General features: G+C 49.1%; 1 protein-coding gene across 4 annotated transcripts in view, besides 2 other annotated features; it reads left to right on the forward strand.

Annotated features, from left to right (window-relative positions):
- The window catches only part of SMOC2 (SPARC related modular calcium binding 2), a 226,809-nt gene continuing 206,360 nt past the window's right edge, over positions 225-20,673 (forward strand). For all 4 annotated transcript variants that reach the window (NM_022138.3, XM_011536066.2, NM_001166412.2 and 1 more), the window contains exon 1: positions 225-495. In NM_022138.3, the coding sequence (NP_071421.1) occupies positions 412-495 (84 nt within the window). In that variant the 5' untranslated portion in view covers positions 225-411. The remainder of the gene's footprint in view (positions 496-20,673) is intronic.
- Positions 13,730-14,231: an enhancer, noted in NCBI's record as "H3K4me1 hESC enhancer chr6:168855369-168855870 (GRCh37/hg19 assembly coordinates)". NCBI's record gives its function as "activates a minimal SCP1, AML or CMV promoter by ChIP-STARR-seq in naive H9 embryonic stem cells {active_cell/tissue: H9 hESC(naive)}" and the evidence as "EXISTENCE:reporter gene assay evidence [ECO:0000049][PMID:30033119]".
- Positions 15,943-16,916: an enhancer, noted in NCBI's record as "H3K4me1 hESC enhancer chr6:168857582-168858555 (GRCh37/hg19 assembly coordinates)". NCBI's record gives its function as "activates a minimal SCP1, AML or CMV promoter by ChIP-STARR-seq in naive H9 embryonic stem cells {active_cell/tissue: H9 hESC(naive)}" and the evidence as "EXISTENCE:reporter gene assay evidence [ECO:0000049][PMID:30033119]".

The raw sequence follows: 20,673 nt of genomic DNA on the forward strand, positions 1-20,673 counted from the left end.
GGACAGGCCACTGCGCAGCCCTGGTGGCCCCCGCTCCACCTCTCGCTCCGCAGACCCGCGCCAGGGAGGCCTCTGGGCCGCAGCGGGCACCGGAGCGGAGCGGGCGCGGCAGCGGGCGCTGGGAGGTGGGGCTGGGGGAGGAGAGGGGGAGGGAGAGAGGCGGGCGGGAGGGGAGGATCCGGGAAGCTCCGGGGTATTTGACAGGAGCGAGGGCGGACGCAAAGAACGCGGAGGACCTCTGGGTGCCTGCAGGGGAGCTGCTCCAGCCGGGCCGCCGGGAGCGGTGGGGAGAGCATCGCGGAGCCGCCCCTCCACGCGCCCGCCCAGCCGCGCTCGCCCACTGGGCTCTCCCGGCTGCAGTGCCAGGGCGCAGGACGCGGCCGATCTCCCGCTCCCGCCACCTCCGCCACCATGCTGCTCCCCCAGCTCTGCTGGCTGCCGCTGCTCGCTGGGCTGCTCCCGCCGGTGCCCGCTCAGAAGTTCTCGGCGCTCACGGTAAGCCCGGGCCCGCGGGACCTGGAGCTCAAGTGGTGCCGCCTCTTGCAGCCGGCCGGGTTCGGGTCCCCGCGCCCCGCTCCAGGCCCAGGCGCCTGGGCACGGGGAGCAGGTGGCCCCGGGGGCCGTGGAGCCTTCGCCTGCCGGCGAGGCTGGAGCAGGTAGGACGCAGCGTGCGCGCCTGGGACCCGGCTGGGATGGGCTTCTGGGGACCCTGCCCGCCGGGGTCCTGCTGCGGCTGCGACGGGCTCCTCGGGTTCCACCCGGCTGGGACCCCACCTGCCTCGGGGGCTCTGACCCGGCTGTGAGAGGATCCTGGGGTCCTGCAGACCCCGGACAAGTGGGAGCTGCGGGTGCGCTCGGGTGTCCCGCACTCACTGCTGGGCCTGAGCCTGTGGGGAACCAGGTCTGGGAGCGCCGGCGCCGCCCCGCGGACTGTCCCAAGGCCAAGACAGACCCGCCGGGACTGGGCGCCCACCTCGCCCACGGGGACCCGGCCTGGAGCGTGTTCTCCCGACCGCTTTGGGCTCGTGCGCCGCGCGGATCCCGGGCCTCTCGCCGGCTGAAGGGGCTGCCAGTCGTGGGCCCCACTCGTGGGTCTGACTCTCCCAGAGACCCTCGTAAGTGAGCCGAGGAAGAAGCAGATGAGGTTACAGATGATTCTTCACGGGCCTGAGTGTTATTAGAGAAGCGCTTTCTTCCCTTCTCAGGACAGAACTGGAGGCAGGCGGCGGCTCCCCGCTCTGCGGGGCCTCTGGGTTCTTCCTCGTGGCAGGGATGCTGCGCTCCTGAGCGCGAGGGTCACCGCGGTTGACCGCTGTGTGTTTTTCTTTCTGAGCTGTAACTTCTATGCGACAGCCTTGGCCCGGCCAACGCACGCGGTGTCAAACGAGGAGCTATGTAGAGGGGGCTGAGCCAAGCCCCCGCCGGCCAAGCCAACCCGCGGCGGCCGCTGGGCCAAGGCCGGGTGTCTGCAGCCCCCAGCTCCAGCCGTCCTCCTGGGCTTGCAGGGTTTGCAAACCCATCATTAATGCAATCGCCAGAAACGAAAACATTCCACTTAAATGTGTTTTTGAACAAGTGTTTGAGAAAACACGAAGGTAGTGAGAACGCCTCTGGTGGACAGCCGTCTTTTTTAAGTGGCCGGGGACTTGTCCTAAAGGTGTTTATTGTATTGAAAATAAAGATGGTTGAAATAAGCTGTGGTCGGTTCTGCCTTTCAGCAAATTTAAAACAGTCATGTGGGCATCTTTTCTTTTTCTTTTTCTTTTTCTTCGTCTTCTTTCTTTTGCGTTTTAGCAGTGTGAAGGATGGTTTGTGAGTTCATTGCTCATACCTCAAATTCTTCTGCAGCAGCCCGGGGTCCCTGCCTTGTGTCTCACAAATGACTTGTAGATTAGAAACTGCTAACTGGGGCTCCAAGGAGGTTTTCACACACTCAGGCTTTCCCTGAAGATCCTTTATCTCCCCAGAGGGGGCCCTCAGAGGATACTCACTGGAGGCATTCATGTATATGCACATCTGTACATGCATCTAGACATAAATATACTCACGTATACACTCACAAAAAGACCCCCCACATACTCTTAAAGCACACTAGAGGAGACAGAGAAACTAAGGCCAATTCTCCAAAGGAGATCATAGCATTTTCTTCCAGGACTGTAGCAGCAGGTACCTACAGTTGCCACGGATTTTCAGATTTTCTGAAAGCGCAAAAAGTAGAGACTGCCATCTGCCTGCTGCCCTGTGTGTGTGGGGGGTGGGGTTGGGCCTGTTGGTCCCCCCTGGAAGAGCAGAATCAAGGTAGTTAGTAATTAGAACAGTTTAAGACTCGGCAGGTTTTCTTGTCTTCTCTCCCCTGTCTCATCTAACTATTTACTTGAACCCTCTCACCTTTTGCCCCCTTGAGGTTGCCCCAAGGATGTCTTGGGTTGCGGTGAGACCCGCTGCATGTGGGGTCTCTGTGCAGGAGCTGATACCCCACGTGGGCTTTGCCCTGTTGGCTGCATTCCCCAAGAACAGTTTGCCTGAAATTTACATTTGCAAATAAAATCAGTATCCCGAAGAAAAGATTAAAGCCATAACACATTTTGGCACACTTCTTCTCACCCCACCCCCAGTCTAGAAAATCAAGAAGTAGTTGAGTTACAAAGTAACTGAGGCAGGCCTGAAATCTGACTGGTCGCTGGGAGATGTGAGATGTGCAGGATTTTTCAGTGTGCTCATCTCTTTTCAAATTGCCTTCTGGTTTTTGGAAATCTCTTTTGTCTCCGGAGGCCCTCATTCAAAGAAGGGCCTTCTCTCCCTACGATTTGCATCCTACCTACTTTAATAAATCAAGAGGCAGTATCAGTCCATGCAGTGGGTGGGACCCACAGCTTAGGGTCTTGCTGGATGTGTGACTTCAGGCAAGTTACTTAATTTCATAATCTTCAGTCCCCTTATCTGTAAAATGAGAATACATAATCTCTTTCAAGCATGTGGTGAGGATTAAAGGTAGGGCTTTTAATGCGCCTACTATATGTGAGTTCTCCAGCTAACATTGTTTTGATGGTGCCCATGCCGTGGGTCCGTATAAGAGAGTGCTATCAATTGATACCGTAATTATCAATGCATATAGCGTTGTGGCATTAAGGTGTGTGTGGATTCAACTTTGCAGTATTTTCACCTGCCGCAGATTCTCAGAGCACACCACTTGGCTCTGGGTGTATCTGTGGACTTTGTGGGAGTAGCCATGTGGGACTCTATAGACCAAGGAGGAAAGCTTGCCTCTCTGCCTCCTTCTACTCCATTCATTTCTTCTCATCTAGAAGCAGGGAAATATGTCAGCCTCTCTGGGGCTTTCAGTTTGCCATACCTGGCTTCTCAGGACCACGCATTTGTCTTACTCACCTATGGTGAGTGTGCTTTCTTGGTGGGTCCAGCATTGCTGGTGTGCTCACCTCTGCTACTTTATGTTTAAGATTCAGAGAATCCACTTTGTCTGGTAATGATCTCTCTTCTTTCCACCAAAGTCATTCTTTAGAAATGGCACCATGAGGCCCTCTGTGTCTCTCATTGTGACTTTCTGATGGCTTTGCACAACTTCCTGGTTATTGCTCAGACCCTCTCACCTCCAGTCAACAATGGCATTCTTAAGTGTGTCCAATGCGCTCTTAATTTGGATGCAGGTCAATTTCTTCCTTGAAGAAGGAGGTACATTGAATGCCACACCGTGCCCATTTTCCTTTTTATTTCTGTGAATGACTGAGATGAGGGAATGATCTCTAGTATAAATGGTTTTTATTACACATAATTCTGTTTTCAAAGAGCAAACAGGCGTGATCACAATTACTCAACTTTATCATGGTTGTCATTATATGAATTTTGATGGACTGATCCATAAGCCCATACCTAGGTGATTTCTTTAAAGGCAGAGAGAAGAACAATATTGCCTGGGACCCCTTTCCCAGAAGTTTTTGGTTAGAGCCAAAGTATTCATTCCCATGTTGACTAAATCATATTTTGCTCACACTTAGAATGTTGAAGTCACATTACCATCCTTCTCAGACTTCTCTTACTGCCAATACCTAACGCTCCCCTAAGGTCATACGCACGACTTCGTTAAAGGTACCGTTGTCTCCACATTCAAGAGATGAGGAAACTGAAGTTTTGAGAGACTCTGAAGGGCACCTGGTCACTAAGCAGATCCGAATATTTCTCAAGTCATCCTGCCATTATTTTTCTTTCTTCGTGGGAGTTCCCTGCACTGTTTTTTGCACTGTCTTCAGGAACTTTACAATTCCACACTGCCGTTTCACCTCTCAGACTGTAGTTGACTTTCATCCTGAATCCTCATCTTCTCACAGAGGGTCTGGCACCTGGTAAATGCCTCTTATTGGTCTTGTGGAATGCATGACCACAGACCTGAAACAGTTATTTCCCACTCCTATTTGTGTTTATTTGCTTTGAAAGAGAAGAAAGGTGATAAGAAAACAATATTTAGCCATGTGTAATTTTTTTAAAGTTTCATTAGCAAGTTCATGAGATGATTTAATATTGATTTTGCTGAAACAGCCAAAATAAAAATGCTATTCCATTTCTGAGCAGTTGTGGTTTGGAATGCGTACCTCATCCTGTTTTGATATAGTTCTCACTCAGCCTTGGATCTTCAAGGGAATTACTGTGATTTTTTTTCCTTTCTTCTTCCATTGCAAATGCCTTGAGTCCATTTCATGCTCTGGGAGGGCTTCTACTGCATTCCCCAGTAGAAGACGGACCACGAAGGTGGTTAAGGAGGAGAGAACTAAACATAATCAAAATTTTCCAACTTAGAAGCCCATTTACATGGCGTCTAAAAACCCAAACATCTGGAAGAATCACTTTAATTTTGCTGTGAAATCAAGACCGTAAATAACACTATAAGCAATTGCAGTCCCTAACAAGACCATGCAGCCAATGGGCATGGATGTAACGTCAGTTGCAATGGCTCAGAACCGAACAGATTTCTCAGTAATTCTATATCAAAATAAGCCTTCTTGCCAATCCAGGATCTTAGAATGGGGATTGTTATTAAGATTGTCAGCAGAACATTGGTTTGGAGGTCAAGGGTAACATTTATATATTTTTGAATTAGAAGATAAACTGGGCCGGGCGCAGTGGCTCACGCCTGTAATCCCAACACTTTGGGAAGCCAAGGCGGGTGGATCATCTGAGGTCAGGAGTTCAAGACCAGCCTGACCAACATGGTGAAACCCCATCTTTACTAAAAATACAAAAATTCTCTGGGTGTGGTGACACGCACCTGTAGTCCCAGCTACTTGGGAGGCTGAGACAGGGGAATTCATTGAACCCAGGAGGCAGAGGTTGCAGTGAGCCGAGATCCTGCCATTGTACTCCAGCCTGGGTGACAGAGTGAGACTCTGTCTCAAAAACAAACAAAAACAAAAGATAAACTGTTCTACACATACAACACACAAACTTAGAATGATGAATTTCCAGTAGGATTTTGAAGTTAGAGGAGAAAATTAAAGAAATAGTCTTTAGAACTGCCAGCCCTTATGTTTCTCCAATTGATGGCATTGAGTAATAGAGCAAGATCCCAGCATTAGTCATTGTGTGTCTGTAACATATGTACAACAGTTAATATATTGGATATTTAACTGTAGCTCACAAGAGGGAAGATTTATAATATGAATTAATATTTTTGTTGATTCCTAATTTCCTATGGGCTAAAAAGAAATTGCTCTGAAAGTGAAAATAACAGACATTCTTATGTGGTTTTGCAGTTCCAGGCCAGACATCAAATAGCAAAGATTGTAATAAAACAAATAAAGAGAACCAAGTAAAATATGAAATCACATTTATATGTTTAGGGTTAAAAAATTACAAATGAAAATTTTATAATATCTGGCTTAATTTAACTAGATTTTTCAACACAGAGAGTCTCAGAATGACTTCTTTTTGATGAACCACGATTTTATTTTGATTTTTATTATGTATGACATAATGTGGCATATCCACCAATTAAACTGTCACTTAAGAGAAGGCAAATGTCAATATAGCATGTCCAGGCTACGTTCTCCTTCAGCACATATCTCTGCCCACTTTACGGTCTTCTTCCCCGTGGTCATCTATTTGTTTTCTTTTTTGAGACAGGGTCTTGCTCTGTCCCATAGGCTGGAGTGCAGTGGTGCACTCTTGGCTCACTGTAACCTCTGCCTCCTGGGCTCAAGCGATTCCCCTGCCTCAGCCTCCTGAGGAGCTGGGACTATAGGCACACGCTACAACGCCTGGCTAATTTTTTGTATTTTTTTTTTTAGAAATGAGGTTTTGCCATGCTGTCCAGGCTGGTCTCGAACTCCTGAGCTCAGGTGATCCACTCACTGTGGCTGGTCATCGATTTTCTTTCTCTTTTATGCTTCTGCCCAAATTAGAAGAAACTTCCTTTGCTTCTCCTTTTACCAAGATACTGACCGTGGATGCTGCTATTTCTATTTTAGCACCAGCTGAGACTCCCTGAAGGGTTTTCTAGTTTCTGTTCCTCACACTCCTTCCTTCTGCTAAAGTGTGGGTGCCCTGGGCCCTGCCCTAGAGCCAGCTGCATCATCTCTCACTGTTCCTATCCCTGCCCTAGCCCCCAGCCGAGGGCAGACATTTTTGGGGGGAAAGGGGTAGGCAAACTCTTAACATTTGAGGTTCTTAGAAAAGAGTCTTCCAATAATAACAAAGTTTCTGAAGGTGGAAGAGTTGTAGGTAAACACGATGGCCTGTGGTGTGTTTGATCAGGGGTTCAGAGCCCTTGAGTGCAGGTCACCATTAGGCCCATCTCATTTTGGATACCGAGTCTGCTGGATTTTAGTCACTTCTTAAAGGACAAGTTCACCAGTTTGTTGGCAAAAAAAAAAAAAAAAATGCTGTGGTATGTAAGTTGACCTTGCCTGCGTCAGGGTGTTTTGTTTATCTCTTACTCTGTTCAGTGATCAGTGAAGGCGCTAGAATCAAATAAATCCACCCTGCATACCAGCTGGGTGTCACCATGGACATTTGATTTCTTCTTGGGATTAGGGACATTGACTCCTGAAGGCTTTCCCTGCCCAGGTCAGGGTTGTCCCATGTATCAGCCCACAGTGGACCAGGAAGATGGTAGGCATTCTCCCACATCAGGCCCAAACCGACCTGCGATTTGTGACTAGGATTAGTGGTGAGTTGATGATATTGAGGGCTGAGTTGTGAAGGAGCAAAATCCTCCCACAGAAGAGACTCTTTCAAATTCTCTGCCATGAAAGCAACATTGTGCTGGACTTGAGCAGCCCTCCTGGTGGTGACCTGGGCTTTCAGGAGCAAAGCAGAAGGTGTGGAACCACTCCCAGGAGGCTGGGGAGGAGGATGGCACTGGGGAGGAGGATGGCGCTGGGGAGGAGGATGGAGATGGGGAGGAGGATGGCAATGGGGAGAATGGAGATGGGGAGGAGGATGGCAATGGGGAGGACGATGATGGGGAGAAGGATGAGGATGGGGAGGAGGACGGAGATGGCAAGGAAGATGGGGATGAGGAGGAGGACGGGGATGGTGAGGATGGTGATGGGGAGGAGGATGAGGATGGGGAGGAGGACGGAGATGGGGAGGAGGACAGAACTGGGGAGGAGGATGGTGATGGGGAGGACGATGATGGGGAGGAGGATGGTGATGGGGAGGATGGTGATGGGGAGGAGGATGGTGCTGGCTACCCTGTCTCCACTGAGGCAATGAGGCTTATGCACATCTTTTGCTAAACTCCCTCTTCCTACCATAAGCCTTGCGATACATATTTACGTTTTAAAGTAAAGTACTAATTAACATATTCGTAGCACTTTGAGCAAGGATGGAAACGTGTTGTTGGAGTGAGTAGACTAATAATTCTAATGTCTTTGGGCACGTTTTCAGTTTTAGAATGGTAGGGTTGATATTACCTCAATGGGGTCCCTGTGTTGGGCAGACACATATCACCAAATATTTTCCAATTTTACTATTTTATGATGCCCTGCTTGCATTTGGTGTTGTGGGTCTAATGTGCCACTCAAAATCTAACCCCCATGTTCAGTTTTTTTACACCTAATTACCTGGTTTTTTCTTTCTTCGCTCACATGGAACCACATTTGTGGCCCATCGCCCATCTTCAGAAGTGAACGCAGACCTGCCTGTGGCTCCCTGTGTCCAGCTTCTGTTGTCTGATTCCCAGTGTCTGTGCAGATTGATCCGTCTTCACATGAATCCACCCACACGCTTGCCCCCTTATTCCTCTGCCATGGCGTTTCTTATAACGTTGAGAAAAAAATGTAAATCTGAAGTCGTATCTCAGAACCATGTGTACAAACTTTCCTCACATTTATAGCGGTCACTGTAATATTCTTCCTGACATTAGCAATCGAATTGAGGGAAAATGACTTCATAAAATATAGTCACCTTTTAAATAAGAGAATTACTTTTAGATAGGAGATAGAAATTTCAAATAACAAAGGAAATTCCATATGTGCTTATAATTTTAAAAATAATTTGAGAGATCTGGATGAAAAAGAATCAGGCCAACTTTAGGGTATATTTTTGGTTTTGGTTGTATATTAATTCATGCCACATGGGATGTGGGTCTATGTAATCAAGAATTTTTTTAAGTACAATTAAAACTAACCTAAAATGTACCTTGGAAAAAAGAAGTTAGTATCCTTTCATTTTGCGGTGGCTGGCAGCTTGGGACTGTCAGATAAACCGTGCATGGCCATTCTTTGGCATTAAGATTCTGGGCTGTCCAGCTCCCTGTGTGTGACAAGCACTTCTGGACCCTCTAGAAGGTTTCATTACCTTTAATGAAGCATAAAATAAACACGTGCTTTTCTGTCATCCCTTCATTTCAAAGGACAATTGAGTTAAATTTTGTAACATACATATCTTTAGAGGGACAGTCATATTCTTCACTGTGAAATGGCCGCATCAAAGAAGAAGCAGTTAGCAGCCTATCAAATCCCATTCCGACCCTGGTCAGGACTGTGCCCTGTGGTCCTACATTCCCAAGGACAGTGAGTTTCAATCAGGATCCTGTCATTGCTGCTTCCTTGAGATGTGCTTATCTATCAGGAGGAGGAGGAGAAAGAGAAGAGAGAGAAGAGAAAAAAGAAAAGGAAGGAGAGAGAAAAGATGAAGGTAGCTTTTACTGGTGAATCAATCTGGATAATATGACATTACGGCCCTTTCAAAGACAGTCTAGGCCTCTGTCTTTGGAATACAAATGTACATAAAGTTTTGAACACTGAGCAAGAAAGATAATGTGAGCATTCTGGTGGCCTGCTGTCATGCCAGTCACCATAGAGCGAAATTTGTTCTAAGGAGAATTCCTCTTGGATCCTATATAAGAAGTTGTCAACTAGGAATGCTGAAAGGGTTTGTGTTTGAATGAAGGCTGAGAGTTGTGTAATCTTTAAACATTTATCTCTTAATGAATCAACAGGAACGGACATCATCTATTTTCCAGGGCCCCTTATTTAAGTATTTAAACAAGATGCTTAGGTTGTCAGCAGATGGGTCCCCTTCCCAGCCAGTCCTTCTCTTCCCTGTTCCTCTACCCCTTTCTTCTCAGGCCCTGGGTTCTCTCTTCCAGTATTTGGGGTGTTTGTGTAGACTAAATGAGATATTCATGTTGAAGTGCTGGATGCATGTAGTAGATGCTGCTTCCCCAGGATGTAAAAGAATGATCTCGGGCCCTGACACTTTCAGTTCCTTTTCTCCACCGGGTTCTGTTTGGAGCTTTGGTTCATTGATATCCTTTTAAGAATGTGGTCCCAACACCAGATATGGTCTTGCACAAGCATTTGGTCACTTAAACCCGAACGTGACCTTGTGAGGTGGCACTAGTTGGTGATCAGATAATAATCCTAAGTGTCTCCAAATTTAAGATTCTGCTAAACCAGTTTCCACCACTCATTGTTTTTTGAATTTTTTGGCACCCCCACATGATACTTTACGTATTATTTTTATTCAAACTAGATTTTCATCTTGATTCCATTATCCTAGGTTGGAAATACAGCCACCAGTTGATGCAAATGTGTTACAGGATCCTGTTTCTTCCCGTGAATGGGTTGGCCTTAATTCTCCCAAGCAATGGGTGTGGCTAGAGCTCACTCCCTCAGGCTACCTTTCCATTTGCTGCACTGATTTATTCCCCAGGGGAAAGCCCAGGAGAGCTGAATACTGAGCTTTCCCTCCCTCCCTCGGGTCGCCCCTGCCTGCAGCCGGGGTCTTGGAAATCATCAGTAAAATGCTAAATTGAACTCCCGAGTACATGTAACTGGAAATGTTACTCTAAAAGCTTACACTCATCCAATAATTGACACTTTGTGAAGAACGTTGTCCCATGAGCTCTGAATAGTCATAAGAGCATGTTTTCTGCCTCATTCTGCCACATGCGAAGGCTATTTTCTGGAAACATGGACGCCTTCTCCAGAAACAGGATGAAAGCATCTGAAACATGGGATTAAGGTGCCTGTAAGAATAAAAAACCCACTTTACACTCTGTACCCTTCTCTCCTAAAACATGACAGAGCCCTCTCTCTGTGCCCTGCAGACATGATCTCCTGTGTCCTCACAGAATCCCTGCCAGGCAGCTCGCGCTCTCTCTCTGTCTCTCTCTGTCTCTGTCTCTCTCTCTCTCTCTCTCTCTCTCTCTCCCTCCCTCTCTGGGTGTATATTTTCTAGGTTTTTGTAAACATCTTAGGCTAAGGAAACTGAGCAATCTCTCTGACCTGAACATACACGTCCGTTAAGTTCTTTCTTTTTAGGATACGCAGATCTGTGAGTATGCTAATCAGTTCTTCATTCTTAAAAGATTTCTCTTTTGGAGAGAGTTGCCAAAGATAGATCTTTCTTTTCATTTAGAGATAAAACCCAGGTGGAGTCATAACTTCTTTTTTTGTACTCTTGGCATCTCTCCCACCACCTACACCCTGCTGGAAACATCCAGGTGCAATCACCCAGCTGGTGTGAGGGGAAGCCCCTGTCCTTTTTTGGAAGAGGTGGAAGAGGTTGTCTCCCAGGTTCCCTGGTTCCAAGAATCCACCACAGGAGGGAGCCCCAGAATGGCTGAGCTCTGTCTTTTAGGGGAGGGTCGCATGGTGGGGTCTGGGGTTACCACCACCAGCAAAGTTTCTGCCACCTTGCCTGCAAAAATACCCCACGGGCCTGCTGCCCCAAGTGAGTTCAACTTTCCAGCTTTAAAGAATTGGCTCATGATGCAGAATGCTAAATTAGGGAATTAAAAAGCAGGGACATTTTAGCTTGATGTTTCTACTGTCTTTATTTAGAAGTCTGGGATATGCATGTTACATTCAGGATTACTACCCACATATCAGATAAGAGTATCATGTTATTGAAGCAGAATTTTGGTTTTAAAATAACCAGAGTAAGCAGGGGGAGTGTGAGGCGGGCTGCCTGCCTGGGGCCTGGACTGGCTAAATAGGGTGCTATTTTCTTTTTGCTGTGAGGTCAGTCCACTTTGTGAGTCGGGTTTTATTCAAAGCAATCGCTTAACTTATTTTATTTGCTAAATGAATATTATATTTCAGTGTTCTCCAGTAATAGGATTCTCAGACATGTGATTTTCATGAGGGATTTTAACCCAAAAGAACAATAAGTGCAGCAAATCAAAATTTCTGTGCTCAGATATTCAAAACACCACTTGCATTTTTTTGTACCCCAAAATCTGAAGGAAATTTTGAAAAATCATTAGCAGCTGTCATTTAGATTTGTACACCATTCCTAGTCCCTTCCCTCATTTCTACTACCTTTTAATTTCGTTTTGTTTTGTTAAATTCCAAACATATCTGTAGGTTGTCTGGCCAACTTTATTCTAGAAGGCAGCAGGAAGGAGGGCAGCCCGCCAGGCCGAGGCTTTTGTCCTGCTCTGCTCCTGGAGGCTGACACGAGGCTGACTCCCAGGCCACACTCTGTCAATTTCTGGGGCTTCCTCTGGGCTCCACGCAGGACCCCCTTCTCCCAGTGGCTCTGACAGCAGGGGCAGGACGCCCTCCTCCCAGTGGCTCTGACAGCAGGGCCGGGGGCATAGTTCCCTGGAAGTCGGTCTTGGGAGGACACAGCCTCTGTTTCTGCACCAGAGTCCCCAGGGCCTTGGCCGGACACTCAGGGCAATCTGCCCTGAGGAATTCAGGGCAGTGTGGCTTGAATCTGCTGTCCGACGCAGGCAGGTGCAGGCTGTTCTAGAGTGTGCTCAGGGTGGCCTGACAAATGCGGGCGGGGGTGGGGGAGGAACTCGGGACCCAGGGCTGTGCCCCAAGAGGGTGTGGGGCAGCCAGGGGGTGTGGTGGCCTCAAGGCTCCGTCACCCTGCGGCCCTGTCATTTCGGGCTGTGCCTTTGTCTCCGGGTCTCCTCCTCACTCTTCTCAGTCTACCCTGGAGTTCAACAAAAAGGAGAAAAGAATTTCCCTGGCAAAGCCAAGTGGAGAGTTAGAGGCTAGGCTCTCTCTTTCTCTCTGTCTCTGTGTGTCTCTCAGTTCTGTCTCTCAGTTTCTGCCATTCTCTCGCTCTCTTTTTTGTCTCTCTGTCTCTCTCTGTCTCTTTGTCTCTCTCTGTACCTGTCTCTCTGATTCTCTCAGTCTCTGCCATTTGCTCTCTCTCTTTCTGTCTGTCTCTGTTTCTTCCTGTCTCTGTCTCTTTGTCTCTCTCTGTCTCTTTCTCTCTGTCTCTTCCTGTCTCTTTCTGTCTCTGTCTCTCTAATTCTGTCTATTGATCTCTGCCATTCTACATACTACATCTCTGTCTATCTCTGTCTCTCTGTCTCCCTCTTTCTCTGTCTCTCTGATTCTATCTCTTGGTCTCTGTCATTCTCCATCTCTGTCCTCTATCTCTCTCCGTCTCTCTGTTTGTCTCTCATTCTTTCTCTGGATCTCTGCCATTCTCCATCTCTGTCTCTCTATCTCTCTTTCTCTCTGTCTTCCTCTCTCTCTGTCTCTCTGATTCTATCTTTGGTCTCTGCCATTCTCCCTCTCTGTTTTGTCTATCTTTCTTTGCCCCTCTATTTCTGTCTCGATCTCTCTCTGTCCTTGTCTCTGTGTGTCTTCTTTCTGTCCATCTCTGTACTATCTCTGTGTCTCTCTTACTCTATTCATCTATTTCCCTATCTTTATTCATCTCTCTGTCTCTGTTCTCCCAGGCTCCACCCAGTCCATGATGCCTGCAGGGGGTCACTCTGTGTCCTCCTGTGACTCTGCCCTGTGGCCGTCTCTCCTGTTGGGCTGCCTCTGGGCTCTGTGTGTCCCGGCTCCCCCAGGAAGGATGAGGAGGCCCAAGGGCTCTGTGGCTCTGAGAGCTGAGGCATCGCTGAAGTGTTTGTGAAGAAGAATTGAACTAACCTAGAACTAACCTCAGCCGAAATCTAACTGGGCTTTTTTTTTTGGTCACACATTTTCTTCACCCTTTCTTCTTTAGATGCTTTCTGGGTTTTCCAGGTTCATTCAGAACTGAAAATAGCCCCTCGTAACTTCACAGCACGAAACCCAGAGCTCTCAGGACACGTGCCCCCAACTCATCTCCCCATCCTGGGTAGGGCCAGACTGCGGCTCTGACAGGTTCTGCAGATGGGAGGCACCTGGGCAGTGAGACCAGGTGTTTGCAGGTAGACCGTTTGCCCTTCAGCCGGTGCTTGATCAGATTGTTCTTGGGATTTTCTAAACACACATTCTGGGGAACAGAGGAGGCTTTGATGAAGAAAGGGAAAAGAAAACCCACTAAAATATGTGAAAAAAATCATACCACAGCACTCCGGGTGTGTCTTGATTTGGAGGTGAGCTTACAACTTCTCCATGGGACGCATCCTGAAGCTACACCTGTACTGGCCATGTGCTGAAGACGCTGCTGGGGACAGGTTGTGCGTGGCCAGTGTTCCAGCAGATGCTACAGGTGCACATCCTGTGGCCGGGGTCCCTGTGGCCAGGGTCCCGGTTTGAGACCGGATAATAGTGTGGGGCCGAGGGTCGGCGCTGGCCCAAAGGTGGCTCTCAAGATGACTCCAGAGGGTCTTGGTGGCCGGGGTCTCAGATGGGAGCTGTGTGTATTGGGTTCAGGGAGCCCAGGACAGGAGGGGAGGGCTTGTTAGGGGCCCCTGCAGGGTGCCGGGGCGGAGTGAGGACGGGCTGCCATGAAGGGCCTTGGGAGGAACTGGGGCTTTGTCCAAGAACCAGGCCAGCTTGAGGTGCAGCCCAGGGGTGCTGAGGAGAGCCTGGCTCTGACCCTTCAGTTGGCCCCAGAGAGGACCAGGGGAGGGCAGCCGACTTGGGGTCTGGTCTATGAGTTTTCTTCTTTAAGATATAAAAGAATTAACTGGTGAACTTTGTAATCAACTCAACATTTTCCTGTGTTGTGTCTTGTCCCAGTCGTGGTTTTCTCTAAGCAGAATCAGAAATGATGGATTTAGAGAGAGGGGCAGGAAGGACGCTGGCTCGGCAGCCACCAAGCCCGGGCTGGCCTGGCAGCTGGCTGTGGTGGGCGGCCCTCAAGTCCCGGCTTTGAGAGGCTGGGCCCTTTTCTTTCCTCATTCTCTCCTACTTAAAAATGTTCATGTTTATACTTGTTTATTGTTCCCTTCTTAAAATGAACTTTCTGAAGAACATTTGATACTTCTTCACCTTATAAAGGTTACACAGATTTTATAAAATGTAAAGGAAAAGGTACAGATTTCATTATTATCTCTGGGGTGTCACTCAAAATTACTGATGTTGAATATCACAGAAAGGACATAGAATGAGCCATTATCTCCTGGAGGTCCGAAACCTTGAACTTAGAGGAAGACCTGAGGGGTTTAAAACAAACCGAACAACCTAGCCTCACTTTATACAAATGGGCAGCTCTGGGGAGAAAATTGCAAGTGGCAGAATCAACGTGGATTCAAAACCTCGTATCTCAACAGCATTAGAGGACTAGGGTGACCCGCTCCGTGAATCCATGCAAACGTCTGGGCGGAGTCTTCACCTCACTTCCCGATTTCCCGGTCTGTTCCTGTGAAAGGGCGCGGCACTCAGGCAGGGCGGAGATGCCCCCAGCCCAGCCTCTGACTGCAGACGCCTCATACCAGGGCCACCCCAGAGCCCAGGGAGGGCGGAGTGGGCGTGGGGGCACGGGCCTGCTGGGAAGGAGTCACTGCTTGGAGCTGGACGTGTGGGCCGACGTCTCTTGCCTGAGCTCTGCGAAGTGACTTCATCTGCTTCTGGTTCAATTGCTAGATAGTTTAAAAGAGGGTCCCACACACATCGTTCCCTAATGACACAGCCTGGCTGTCGCCGTTTATGACTGCGATTAGCTGTGCAGGGGCAAGAGCAAGGCTCTGGGTTTTTGCAAGACTGAGGCAGGGTGGGTGGGGCGTGGAGGGGCTGCAGGGCTGGCAGGTGGCCGCGGCCATTCTCAGGCCATGGGTCTGCCCTTGAGTTAACCTCAACCAGGTCAGGCTGCATTGAAGCAGGCCACAAAGAGAAACCTCGCAGTGGGTTCCGTTCACACCAGGTACCTTCGGTGCTGCGAGACCCTCACGGCACCCCAGCAGGGTCTCTCACGGAGACTCCCCGGTGCCACTTGGTGGCCACAGTGACTCTCCCACGTGGAGCTTTCCTCTGTCAGCAACCCCAGTGCCGAAGCTTGAGAAGGGAAGTGGCCTTCCCACAAGAATGTTCTGGCTAGTACTGGATTTCAAAACGCGCCCCAGGTCAGGCTGATCTCAGAGAAGCCTCCTTACATTTTTAGGAGGGTGCTTCCAGATTGTGGGACATCAGGTACTGTTAACAGGAGGAGAAGGTGGGATTTCCTGGAGGGGACTCTGGATGCATCGTTTTTGGTGGCAAGCAAAAGGCATGTCACTGTGAGGGCAGGAAGAAGCCTGGGCTGCTCCATGTGGGCAACGGGTGGGTCGTCATGTCCACCGAGGTGAATGAGTTCAGTCTTCATCCCTCTGCCTGTGAGGCATGAGCTCAGGGGAAAAGCAACAACAAGACTAGGGCTGCAGGGTTTTGAAGAAGCTGCTCGGGACAAGCATGCACACGCTCATGTGAAACGGCAACTGCTCCACATCATGCTCCATTTTCTCCTTCTGGCAAACTGTGCACAACCTGGGAGAGATGGCAAAGCCCTGTGTCCTCACACTGCCTCAGGCACAGCGCGGCCGCCACGCCCCTCTCCAGCTCTCCCTTCCACGGTCACCTGGAGATGGCAGCTCCTCTGGACCGTCCACGAGGGCTGCCAGGAGGAACGTGTGTTTAGACACTTTCAATAAAAACAAAGTGCAGCTTCCAGTGAGTGCCATTCCACTGTCTACAACGGGGGAGTCAGAACCCAGTTGAAAAGCTGCCCCAGCACCCCAGCGTGACGCCAGCCACGGGGATGCCACCCATCCAACCCCACCTTCAACACAAGCAGTGCCCGAGGGGCTGGCTGACTGCGATGGACTCAGCGACAAACGGCACCCACCGACCCTGCACTGGAGCTGCAGTGACTTCATCGCCTTGTGTTTCCCGTCGGGTGCCCAGTAATCACAAAGTGGCCTGGAGTCACTGTTTGTAAATACACAGGAGCCTGCACCCATCATATGTATGCGGCAGAGTAATCCTCCCAGAACATGAGCCCCGCGTCACGTCCTTCCAGCCGTGCTTGTGATCACTGCCGGGGTGGGAGCCTGGCCTCGCACTCGCTGCAGCCCCGGCCCAGACCCACCCTCCCCACGCCCACGAGTACATGTGGTGCCGCCTCCTCTCTGGGGCTGGTCCTAATGGAAATCAACCTGACCCTGCTGAGCAGGATGGCAGGCCCAGCTCGGCGAAGGCCTGGAATTTTTCCAAGCCTGTTTTGTTCTCTCTTCCCTCCTCTTTCTAATGAGTCTAATAGAAACATTCCAGTTGTTTCTTTTTTCATGGTGGTATTTCACGGTCATTTCAAGGTGGGGGGCCCTTGCAGCCTGTGTGCCATCATCTTCTGGGGAGGGGGGCAGCACAGGGGGTGGCCGGTCTTTCCCACCTGCCACAAAGATTGGTCCTGAAGATCCTGCTGCGAGACACACTCTCACGTGGAATCAACGCAACCTGGGCCTCTTGCACTTACTCCAAAACAATTAAGCTCCTAGGAAGGCTGGGGGGATGTCATGATAACATAATCCTGCAGTGTGACCCAGAGGCCGGGCTGTGGTGAGGCTTCAGGGTGTGGGGACCGTTCCCCTGGGGCCATCAACGTACCGGCTCATCAGAGAGAACTGGGATCCAGCAGCCTCTCTGGGAGGGAGACGGTCTCACCCTGCCCCTCCGGGGGCATCGTGCTGCCTGCCCTGGGGGTCCTGGGAGGGAGACGGTCTCACCCTGCCCCTCTGGGGGCATCGTGCTGCCTGCCCTGGGGGTCCTGGGAGGGAGACGGTCTCACCCTGCCCCTCTGGGGGCATCATGCTGCCTGCCCTGGGGGTCCTGGGCTTTGGCGTCACCAGTTCTGTTGTGAGTCCTGGATTCCCACTCGCCATGGGTTTGGACCAGCTTCTGAGTCTCAGTCTTTCATGCTGTAAAATGGGAAGTGCAGCCTCTTTGGAGTGCAGTATTTTGAGTTGTGTGTGATGTTGGTGTGTCCTTGACAACACCCTTTGCCTTCATTGCTAAGGAATGGGGCCCAGGCATCTTAGGGGAGAAACGAAGGCTCCCAGGGTCCTGGGCCAGCTTGCACCCCTGTCCGGGCCGTCTTCCTGCTCGAGATGTGAAGTGCTTGTTCTGTCACGTCCCCCTGCCCTCCAGTTGTGTTTGTGCCATGTTGCTGTGTGCCTCACACCCCCAGCTCTCCTTCTAGGAACACTTTCTGCACCCTGCAGTGGTCTGAACGCCCACTCCTCGGTGTAAAGGAGGCAGAGAGCAGGAAGATGTTTGCTTATACTAATTCTCATTGTATAATAATTAAAGCTAATTCATTGTATTAACTGTGTGTTGGAAAATAGTGTAACATGGAAGTTTAATTTATGGACATTAAGTACTCCCTCTGTTGTCATCAACAGTGTGGAAACGTGGTCATAATTATGAATAATGCTTACTATATCCAGGGCCTTGTTCAAAATGGTTTACCCAAATAAACTCTATTCCCCACAACACCCTCGATGTGGTGGGTGCTCTCATTGTTCCCATTTTGCAGATGAGGAACTTGAGACACAGATGGACGAGGTCATGTGATGGATTTAGGTCATAGGCCTGAGGAAGGTCCTGGAGCAAACGGTTTGACAGGAGCGATGTCATCAGTGCAAGTTCTGTCAACCCGAGGCTCAAAGCCGGGGCGTGGGCCTCGTGCTGTGCAAGCGTCTAGGGCTTCGTAGGTGTGTTTTGATGAAGGTCACAGACGCGCCTGGGTCCCTGGTGGGGAATCTGGGCCATCGGCAGGAAGCGTGACATTGAGGACAAGCTGGAAAGGGGGCGTTTGCCGCATCGGGAAGGGTATTCTCCGGTTGTGGGGAAGATGAGTTCCTTCGGTCATGCCTGGGTTGATCCCAGTGAGTTGATGAAACAGGATCCTGGCACCCTCACATGTGAAAATGAAGCAGAACTTGGGTCTGTAGCTAGAGCCCCAGGGTGGGTGAGCCCTGGGGTGGGTGAGCCCTGGGGTGGATGAGCCCTGGGGTGGGTGAGCACTGGGGTGGGTGAGCCCTGGGGTGGGTGGGCCCTGGGGTGGGTGAGCTGGGGTGGGTGAGCACTGGAGTGGGTGAGCCCTGGGGTGGGTGAGCCCTGGGGTGGGTGAGCCAGGGTGGGTGAGCACTGGAGTGGGTGGGCCTTGTGGTGGGTGAGCCCTGGGGTGGGTGAGCCGGGGTGGTGAGCCCTCTGGTGGGTGAGCCCCGGGCTGGGTGAGCCCTGGGGTGGGTGAGCCGGGGTGGTGAGCCCTGGGCTGGGTGAGCCCGGGGGTGGGTGAGACCTTGGTGAGAAGAGCCCCGAAGTCCGTGTGGTTGACGCTGGCCCGATTCATTTTCTCTGTGCTTTGGTTTCCTCATCGCTCAATCATGTTTCCTTCAAGTGATAGGCTTCAAATATCTTCCCTGATCAATGTTTCTCTCACTAGAATTTTGAACTCTTTGGAAACCTTTCATAGATAACGTTTACTTTATTGTAAACAGGATAAAATTTGCTTTGATTGACTGATACCCCAAAAGATATTCTTGGTGTACTGCATTTGCCCACTTATGTGGCTACACTCACATCACAATTAGCACACTTAAGACCTATGTATTTAAATGACCTCAAAACTCCTCAAATGAAATCCCCTAGACCCCAGTCCTCCAAGCAGTTGCTTAGAAAGAAATTATGGGATATCCTTCTAAGGTAATTAAAGGAATTCTACAAGCAATGTAACAACATAATAGACACTTTGAAAAGTAGTGATGTTCCTCCACAGTGGTACTACCCAACAACTTTGGGGCCTTTTCAAGACTTTCCTCACATGACTTTCTTAGAACATTGCTATAATGAGGACATAAAACATTTTACGTCTGTCTTACTTAATAATATTTAGGGGTAGAATATTGTAAAGAAAACTAGTCTATTTTCCATTTACCTCCCTCACTTGAGCATTAGGAGGGGTTTGGAGGTCTGCCCACCCAAATCCTGAATTTTATAATAGGGCATCTGAGCCCTGGGAAGCTTCAGGAACCCGGTGTGGGGCCAGGTGTCTTGTCTCAGCTTCACCAACTTCCTTCCACACTCCTTTGCTGGCTTGACATTTAAAGGTGAATTAATGCCACATTTTAACATTGAAGTTGATCATGATCTCTGTATCAACCCTCAAAGTATCTTACATCCATTATGAAGAACTCATTTTGGTGGAAATGTGTTAAGAGACAAAAGCATCACTTGTGAGAACCAAAGATGCAAAATAATGTCAACATATTGTAGATATTCTTTGATTAAAATGCTTGTTTGATAATGAGTAATCACTATCAAACTGGGTCAGTGTGAGGGAGGGCTACAGGAAATCCTTGGACCTCAGCTCTAAACACAGAGGTTCTTCCCTGTGTCTGTAGAAGTGCCCAGGCTTTAGGCAGTATTTTGGTTGAAAGGTGTATTAGTCTGTTTTTACACTGCTGATAAAGGCATATCCAGTACTGGCAATTTACAAAAGAAAGAAGTTTAATGGGCTTACAGTTCCATGTGGGTGGGGAAGCCTCAGGAGGAGCAAGTCCCATCTTACATGGATGGCAGGAGGCAAAGAGAGCTTGTGCAGGGGTACTCCCGTTTTAAATCCATCAGATCTTGTGAGACGTATTCACTATCACCAGAACAGCATGGGAAAGACCTGCCTCCATGATTCAATCATCTCCCACCAGGTCCCTCCCACAACATGTGGGAATTATGGGGGCTACAAGATGAGATTTGAGTGGGGACACAGAGCCAAACCATATTAAAAGTGTAAGAAAAATTTACTTCATTTTTCAATGGTGTTGGGTACACTCTGAATTGCAAGTGAATCACTTGCAAAATTTTGTTACAAATTTTTAGAGAATACCTAAAAATGAACTTTTATGACAACTTTTTAGGTTTTCGCCCTTTCAGTTGAACCAAACTAAGGTTTAATCTTTTAGTGGTTTTCATTTGACTTCATGTTGATTTTCTTAATTTTTTCGTTTAATATTTAGTAAGAGTCTGATATTGAGTTTTACTGCACTTTAAAGCA

Source organism: Homo sapiens, chromosome 6, assembly GCF_000001405.40.
Source record: "Homo sapiens chromosome 6, GRCh38.p14 Primary Assembly".
Taxonomy (NCBI): Eukaryota; Metazoa; Chordata; class Mammalia; order Primates; family Hominidae; genus Homo; species Homo sapiens.